The 9,437-nt window shown below is 40.5% G+C and overlaps 1 protein-coding gene across 16 annotated transcripts in view; it reads right to left on the bottom strand.

Moving 5' to 3' along the window:
* Positions 1 to 9,437, bottom strand: part of TESPA1 (thymocyte expressed, positive selection associated 1) — a 37,174-nt gene that overhangs the window by 27,347 nt on the left and 390 nt on the right. For 2 of the 16 annotated variants that reach the window (NR_147062.2, NM_001351149.2), the window contains exons 1-2: positions 9,224 to 9,401; positions 8,633 to 8,805 (exon numbers count right to left, since the gene is read on the bottom strand). The gene's annotated coding sequence lies outside the window, so the exon portion shown is untranslated. Of the gene's footprint in view, positions 1 to 1,535; positions 1,703 to 6,412; positions 8,806 to 9,223; positions 9,402 to 9,437 lie in introns of those variants that run through there. The other 14 variants (NR_147063.2, NM_001136030.3, NR_147064.2 and 11 more) reach the window with 12 other exon arrangements.

Raw genomic sequence — 9,437 nt, forward strand, 5'->3', positions numbered from 1 at the left:
CTGTCGATTCATATTTCATGTAACATTACCAAATATTGATGTATTTTTCCAAGAGACACAATGATGGCACTAGATACACATTCAAAGAGGAACAGAGGGGAAGAATCATTCAATTGTCCAAATAGAGCTTAAAAAAGCTTGAAGCTAATGTAATATTCATTGGCTCATACTCTGTCCTGCTGCCTCTCCCCAGCTGGCCACACTTGCATCCCACCACACTGAGCAAATAGGAGTGGGGCTGAAACTCTCCAGGTCTTATCCCCCTATTTCCTCGAGCTGCCATAAACAACATCATCTTAAGAGCTACACTTTTAACTATTGGAATAAAATAAAATAAAATAAAATAAAATAAAATAAGAAGACTACCAGTTTACAGAGACTTCTGTTCTTCCAACACTTAAAACCATTAGTGAGGCATCCAACAAAATAGGCATTAAAATAGCTTTTTTGAAAAGAACATCCTGAACATAAAATGCATTCCTAGGGCAGTAAAATTGTTTTTAGTGCCTCTGCTTGTTACAGGCAAAACATACCTAGGAAAAAATAATACATAATTACTGTTGTCTGATCTAACTTCCTTCACTTCAGGTCCAGTCCAAGACATATTTTTCTTCCAAGTGAGACGGTAGTTAGCACTATGAGACTTTGCTCTTTAACCCCGGGCACGTGGCTCTTTGTCTACTGCCTGTGCCTTTTAGAGAAAATTAAATCACTGAATGAAGTTAATGTCATAAAGAAGCCTCGAAGAGGAGTAGCAGAGATGACTTGCTATTCTTTGGTCAGAGCTGTCGTGAGGAGATAATGTCCATTAAATCGTGATGTTTGAAGCTTTCAAACTTACTGACTTGGAAGACTTACCCTGGTATTTAGAGCTTTCAGAGCATTTAATGCAACTGCCACTAGAATGACCTTAGGACAAGAATCTAAAAAGTCTTATCAGTTTGTTTACCTAGTCCTGTGATCCAAAATATTTAAGAGATTGGTTCCAAAACCCAGAGAAGAAAATCACAAAGGCCGACTTGTCTATTGTTTTTAATTCCCGAAGGAAATGGACCTCCCCTAGATCACTGGGAATCTTCAGCTCACAGAACATTTTTGGTCGTAGAACTCAAAAGGAAGGCAGGAAACCAGGAAGCCAGGAGGGCAGGAATGCAGAAGGGCAGGAGGGTAGGCAGAGAAGGAGGAAAAGAAGGAGGGAGGGAGGGAGGGAGGAATATCTGGATTTCATACTTTATTCTGCCACTTCAAATGGTATAACCTTGGAAAATTTCATCCTTTTATTGGATCTCAGTTTGTCAGTGAAAACATTATAGCCCTAACATTGATGCATCTAATACTACAAACTTCTGGATGTGCTATTTTATGTCAAGCCCCTATACTGCCTAGCACAATTCCAGAATCTCACTAACTGAAATGGAGGTGGGGGGTTTCAACGTCCTCTGTGATATGAATCTATTTTACATTCCTCCCACATCTTCAAAAATATATCGCAATAATATAGGCTAATTTCCTCTGCATCCCCTGAAAATACTTACCTCTTTTTTTAACCTCGGTTTTCTCAAATTCTTTCCCTCCTTCTCTTCATCTTCCTCAGTCTTTGCCACACTCACCCTGCAGTGTCCAGCTCTTAACCAGCGTCCTCCATGGAGCCATGCCTGGCTTCCACAGCCTACCTTAATCGCTTTCACTGGGCTCTTTCTCTGCTTGATTTTTTTCTTCTTAGGTCTTATCACTAACATACCTTACATTTTATTTATTTACCCAATTTATTGTTTACTCTTCTGATTAGAATACAAGCTCCACGAGGACAGAAATTTTGGGTCATTTACTGCTGTGTTTCTAATGCCTAAAACAGAATCTCACACATTGTAACCACTTAATGAATACTCATTGTCTAAACGAGTGAATGTTTAGAAGGTGCCCTTTCCTCATAGGAGCCCAGTGCCTTCCAGAGTCATCAGAGACACATGCAGGGAGATCGGCTGCAAAACAGTAACAATAAGCTGGTAACTATGTGCTTACTAAGCATGTAAAAATGTTGTGGGTTGAAAGTTGGAGAAAAGAGAGATGGTTATTCTAAGACTTGTTTTTATCCTAGAAGTTCCTACAATTGAGAACAAAGATTGCATTTTCTTGACTAATCCCTATTTACTCCCTGTCTCTATGTCCTATGTACAGAAGTTTTACTTAATGTTAATTCTTAAAGGAAAATGCCTATGAAGGCAGAATCCTTAATGCTTAAGAGTTCCAAAGAAAGGCTTACAAATAAATGGCAATTGCAGGTATGACAATAAAAAGACCAGACAGGTTAAGTGTTCACTGAGAATGACAGACATTTTCCTGGCAATTTGGGTGAGAATGTAATAATTTTTCTACTTGAAAAAGTAATAGTGATCTCAAGTCTTGAAGAAAAGACACAAGGTAGATCTAAGCTAATCTTCACAACTCTAGCACACAGGATAGAGGACTGGGAAATTGCATAAATAATTTTTTTCCCAATCTCAGCAACACTTGAATTGTAGAGCCCTGTCCATGGAGTGTTATATGGGAATACTATAAGTACAGCAATATCAAGAGGCAAGAAGAAATGGTAGTGTCTGGTTAGTGGTAATAGGAGGAAGCTGTACTGCTGGGAGACAAGAAACCGTTTTTTTTTTGTTTTTTTTTCTGTGGAAATCTGCAGGAAGCGGCAAATGATTATCAGACAAGCACATCAGCCATGAGAGTGTTAGACAGAATTAAAAAGCGAGTGCACACAGATGTCAAGATAGCAGCTTTGTAGGTCTTGGGGCCCCTTGTAATAGAGACAAAGATATGGAGATGTTTCCTCCAAATAAGTCATTCGAAAACGTACACTGATAATACAATGGAGTTTGGTGCAGTGAAAAGAAAACTGACTAGAAATCAGAAGACTTGGACATTTTTCTGACTTGTCCAATTAATTGACTTATGGCATGTCAGTTAGGCTTTTTTATTACGGTTTCAGTTTAATCCTCTAGGAAAGGGATTGGCTGGACTCAATGTTGTGTAAATTTACTTCCAGTACCAATGTTTATTAATTTATTTAGGTGAGTTTGAAATATGCATAGGAATAGTACCCATAAAAGAAAGTGCATTTATACAGTTTTTCCCATTAAAAAATGCGAAATGCTTCAGTGGTCTCTAGAGTTACTTCCCATATACCAAATTCCCTTTCAAATTAACACCAACATATGGAGCTCCTGCACATGCGACCTTCACATTGGATCCAGGAAAGTGGTGAGCCTGAACAGGAAGGCCATACAGGAACTTATACAGGGAGTCAGTCAGGTGCTACTCATTGACTCTCAACATTGCTTGAACTTTTCTGCTTTTTTGCTTTAGCTTATAGTTTCATCCCCCTTCCTCTCTAATCAAACGAATTCTTTCTACCCTTTAAGGGCCTACTTAAGTCATCTCCTTTCTCTGTCCTACCTGTAGCAACAAACACCCATGCCTGCGCCATATGCAACAAGACAGTAAGTGGCTACCTCTCTTGTCATCATTCACCACTACTTGTAACTTCTCCCCTAAACCCATCATAGAACATAGCACAGTACTTTGCAAAAGAAGGGACTCCATAAGTGCTGTACCTGCAGAGGAGCAAGAATCACCCTGGCACTGGGAAATTATCCCCAATTAGTATTCGTCATAGGACGGGTGCTCCTGACTGTCCTCATGGCCTTGGATCCTAATGTACATTTTTGCACAGTTAGTGAAGAGGAAAAAGGCTTGGAGCATAGTCTTTCCAGTCCTTTGTTGACATAACATAAGGTCACCCAAGTCTGACTTAATTTATGAAGCTTGAACTACCAAATTCTCCTATTTAAAAAAAATATTTTCCAGAGTCTTTCATTTCAAGTTTTTATTCACTTCTTCATCAAAATTTCCTTCTGGAGTTCATCTATCATCTCTCTTGATGCTGCTTATAGTATGTGATCATATTTAGTCTTCTCTATGAGGATAGAAATATAAAGCCTGTAGATATCTGTTCTCCAATTTTCCCATGAAACTAAGAAATTCCCACAGTGGTACTATTGCTTCTTGCCTGAATCCGCCCAAACCCTCATGTCCCCCCTCTGCTACCATTTCCAGCCTTTTGTTCTTTCCTCTTTTCTACATTTCTCTAGACGTTCATTCCATAAATCCTTCTCCACAATCTTTCAAGAGTTCTGGAATCTGGGTTCAGCCAAGTGGAGTAAGATATAATTCTTGTTCTGAGGATGCTATAGTTAAAAGCAGAAATTGTAGTAGATAGGATTGAGGTTAGACAGGAGAAATATCCTCCACTGGTTTAAGATGAGGGAGTTAAGAGCTGTGAAATGAGTATCTTCCAACAAAAATTATTATCAGAGGCAGTAACTGTAGCAGCGGCAGAAAACCTGTAGAGGTATGTCATAATTATGACTCGAAGAATATCGCCTATTTCTAGTCTCTGTTTTCCCAGGGAAGCAGGTGGGGATTCACTACACATTGACACGGGCAAGTCAAAGGTAGGTAGTCATAATAACTGAAATGTATAGAGTACTGCATATTTATCCATAAAACTTTCCTGTAAACTGCTTAACTTAATCCTGACAACCACTTTAGAGCTGATTATGGTTACCTGACCCTCACAGAGATACGTTATTTGTCCAAGGCCACATCCCTGTAGTGCTGAGATTTAAACTCAAGTTGGTCTGACTCCATGTTATATAGTTTTTCCACTGACATTAGAATAAGAAAATGGCCCAATGTCACCATCCAATGTAATTTGGGATTAAAAAAAAAGGAGAAGTTATTTTAGTAAATTCTCCATTTTGCATCTATGTAAGCTCTCCATCTTATAGTCTAGTAGAGAAGAAGCACCATAAACACAATGTAATTTATATTTGGTTCTGTGACAGTCTTAGTGCAGGAAGTGTTGCTTTGTTTGTGTTATTAGAATAATTTCCTTTCTGACTCCAGCTAGGTGATTATGAAGCAGTTTAGCCTTCCTCAGGCTTACAGAGTGGTTTTTTTGGCAAGGGCCCACCTAACTTCTAGTTGGGAGGAGAGAATCTGCCTGGAATTCCGCATTACTTTCAGGTTGTTGTGGCATTCAGAATATTTCATAACGGTTTGGGGCACCACAGAGCAATGAGAGCTGATACCATCACCGCCCTGTGGTGGGGCCCCGCCCGGTACATGGCTGATGTGGCCTTGAATTTCTGGGGCCTGTCTGGGGAGTCTTGAGGAAAGAGCTGGGATAGCTGGGCTGGTCATGGGCACTCAGAGGGCTTGGGAAAGTGGATAATTATCATTAGTAGACATATTTTAATATTTTAGCAACTATTAGCCTACCAGTTTGCACCTGACAAATATCAGCTCTGCTTACAGATACTTCACCATGGGGCAATTTTCAAGGGGCTCAGTAAGGATGACCAATGCTTCTTTTTCTTTAAAGTTCAGAGTGTTATTTAGAAATTAAAGAAAAGGAAAACTGTAGAAAGAGTTTGGGCCTTGGAATCAGAGTAAGCCTAATTTGGAATCATAGTTCTGTCTGCTTTCTGCATATTTGTCCTTGGTAACACTATCTTTTCTTCTATACCTAAGTTTCTTCTTTTTCTTTTTCTTTTGTCTTGCTGTGTTACTCAGGCTGGTCTTGAACACCTGGCCTCAAGCAATCCTCCCACCTTGGCCTCCCAAAGTGCTGGGATTATAGGTGTGAGCCACCACACCTAGTCTATACCTAATTTTCTTCATAAAATAGATACTGTGCCAAACTAGTTGGGTGATTGGCAGTTGTAATCAGGTAACACATATTAAGTCCCTGATGTATAAAGGTGGTGCTTAATAAGTGATAGATATGATTATGATTATGAATCTCCCCTCAGTCTAAGATGTTCACTAAAGTTGAAACATCTTGAGGAATAAGGAAGGAAAGAAGGAAGGAAGAAGGTGAGAATTGCAGGGTACAGTTGACAGTATAAAATCAAGATGGTGAAAAAGATTTTTTAAATCTGTGTTAAGCAGAGATAAAAAGTAAGCAATGAAAAGTCTTTCTTTCCTGGGGCCTGTCCTAGGGTGGGGGGAGGGGGGAGAGATAGCATTAGGAGATGTACCTAATGTAACTGACGAGTTAACGGGTGCAGCACACCAACATGGCACATGTATACATATGTAACAAACCTGCACATTGTGCACGTGTACCCTAGAACTTAAAGTATAATATATTAAAAAAAAAAAGTCTTTCTTTCTTACCTAATTCCCAAAGGGACCAGAGAGATTACCTAATCCTGTTCACTCATTTTGTAGTTGAGGAAACTGAAGAGAGAGAGAAAGGAGGGAGAAAGAGAGAGAGAGAGGGAGGGAGAAGCAGGCTTGCCTGGAGTCACAAAGAATATTAGTGGTTTTAAATGGGAACCAAACTCACAAGTTCTGAGTTCCAGATGCATGCTTTCTTCCTTTATATCATACAGCCTTCCTCCTGCCACACTTGGTTTCCAAGGCCCAGTCCCAGGTTTGCCTTTAGTGCTCTAGGGGACATGTATGAGACAGACCTCTCTTCTCTTCTGTCTGTTTTGTACCTATGCCCCAAGCAGTGCCTGTGAGTTGAGACTGAGAGTGAGAACCAGTGTGGGAGGAGAGAAGAAGGAAATGGGGTTTCCATGATGTGGCCCATAAGACCTTCTGCATCCACAGCCAAGATATACATCATTACCATCGCAGAGCTGCGGGAAATCCCAGAGTAGCTAACATTTCTCTGTTCATGAACTGGACAAACTCCACCTCAACCCAGGTGGATTGTCCCCCATTTGACATACCCCAATCTGCAACAAATTCTCACATTCCTTCATAGAACTGTCTTCTAGCTCCTAACCCTCTTCCATGTCACTCAGGTTGGAAGATCATCAGAACAAGAATTTCCCTGAGTATAATATTTGAGCATTCTGAGACTTCTATTGTCTAAGGAGCAGTTCAATCTGTTCGGGGAAAAGGAGAGATGTTACTTGGTAAATAACAGAAAGAAAAAATGCCCATTAGTCAATAGAACTCCTATTCCCCTCCCTTTTCATACTCTTTCTCCCACAAATAAGCGTAGCTGAATAAATACTGAAAGAAGACCATCTAAGACCTTTTTCCTCTCCTTCCCTTTCTTCCTTACTTCCACTTTTAGGATATGAATTTTAAGAAAGGCTTGTATAATTGCTACAGGAAATATTAAAGTTGTGGATTTGGAAAAAAAATTAATCGCTTGTTCTCAATGTAGGGAGACATCAAATATCTTCATTTGAATGGGCAATAAAGACATCAAGAATAAGAAACAGCAGTTTATCTGAGCTGATTTATAGATGGCTTCATCAAGAGAAAGTAGGGAGAATGAGCAGATTTCTCAACCATTGTGTTAGCTCTGTGAATTCGTATCTTTAATTCTTCAGTTTCATTTCCTTGGTAATAAGCTCTGTCCTGCATATATTCATTTTTCTTCTTTCCTGCTTTTCTTTTTCAATATCTACACACTCTCTTCTCCTCGTCCCTCTACTTATTTGACTGAACTCTTTTCTCAATCTGAAATCTGTGTTTAGGCCATTCTGCATCAGGCCTGGGTGTTGTAAGGCACACAGTACTGTGGGTACTGGAATATCCACTTTGGTCTTGTGCCTTAGGTGGAAAAGAGAACAGTTGTCAGTTTGCAGGTGGAAATAAACGTGTGATCTTTTCCCCTTACTGTAGCCCAGAAGGAATCTTGTAAGTCACAGCATTGGCTGAGACGAGACCTCCATACTAGAATCCAAATCAAACATTGAACTGAAAATGACGGTTGGGGCTTCATGTTCACTACATAATGCTGAATCGCAGGGTTCCATCTTAATTTTCAAAAAACCCAAGAGTTATGAGAACATGTTGGTAGCGTGGTTGTAAATGGTTTCTAAACACCCTGGGGTGCATGCGAATAACTCAGATGTTAAATTGCTTTCTATCCCTTCTGCTATATCTTCAGCTTGTTATTTCTGATAATAGTCCAAGTAGAGACAGACAATAAACCTGACTTCCCTTCTTCCTACTAACACTTCATGCTGCAAGACAATATTGTGAGATCTTTATCTCTAATCACTCAGCTGAACAACTATTGAGTCTGATACTTGGACACACAAGTTGAAGGTTCCTACCTCCAACCTCCCATCCTAGGTACTGCCCTGCACCATCTAGAAAGTCTCCTTACCTCTCTACTCAGGACCATTTGTGGTATACAGAGTCACTAGTACTTCCCTGGATATCTCCTGTAAATGCTCACAGTCTTGTCAAATCACTTCTGTGGAACTCTCCTTTCTTGTCCTTGCCCTGCCCTGGGGACCCACCCTTTTTCTTCCACCCACTGGTGAGCTTAGTGGCACAGAAGGGGCATGGGAAAACCCCAGGGTGGAGGATCTTTCCACTCCTCCATCTACCCCAAAACTCATGTAGGTGGTGATATGCTCTGCCTGCTACCACTGGGGCAAGGGGTGTTGGAGGAGCATGAAGCCCCCAATATTATGTAGGTCACTGAGAAGGCAACACATCCATCTATCTATCTTTGAGATGTGAACCCTGAAATCTGGTCCTGATGGTGGCTATCCATCTATCTTGAGCCTCCCGGTGAATTTGACCTTACCTCACTCAAGTGTGTACATCCTCCCTCGTAGCTGACCTCAATATATCTTGCTGCAGTTTATCTCAACAAGTTTCTTCTACAGCTTCTGAAGAAAGAGGTCATACCCACAGAAAGCAAAGTTGATTTCAGCCAGGTACTCTCAATGGTTGGAGCTATGGACACTAGAGTAGGGCCTGAAATGAAACCGGGAAACTTCTTCCTTGAGAACTTTTCGATGTTATAATCAGATGGAAATTGCAGCAACAATGAGTTCAGCAAGACACAGAGAAGAACTTTGCAGGTGAGAAAGGTGAAAAAAAATTCCTAAAATGTTATTCAAGTCATCAAAGAGACCCAAGTTTTGAGAATCTAGAAAGATTACCTCTCTGATAATAAAGAGAAAACAAACAAACGAAAGCAAAAGGGCACCCAGCATCGTTCTCCTAGGCATAATGATGGATGCTTTTAAGGTTGAAGTAAGAGTGGTGGGAGATTTTCTCTTGATTTTCCCTTGACTTGACAGCCTGATTTTTCTCTGACATGTTTCCTTCTTTCTCCTAGCATCACCCTAAATCAGTACAGCCTTGAAACTGAGATAAAGGCTGTGCTTACCTGTCTGCTGGTAGAAAGCTGAGTTTGAGGCAAAGCAGTTGTCGAAGCTGGGCCGAGGCCTTCACAGGTGTGGGCACAGAGGTGAAGCAAGTGAGAAAGTATCATGTTGTAGATTATGCCTTTCTCCCTGAACTCATTCAACTGCTGTTGCCTGCTCAAAAGGGGAAGCGGAAATGAGAACACACCACACACACACACATCCACACATGTAGAT

This window comes from Homo sapiens, chromosome 12 (assembly GCF_000001405.40).
Source record: "Homo sapiens chromosome 12, GRCh38.p14 Primary Assembly".
Classification (NCBI taxonomy): domain Eukaryota; kingdom Metazoa; phylum Chordata; class Mammalia; order Primates; family Hominidae; genus Homo; species Homo sapiens.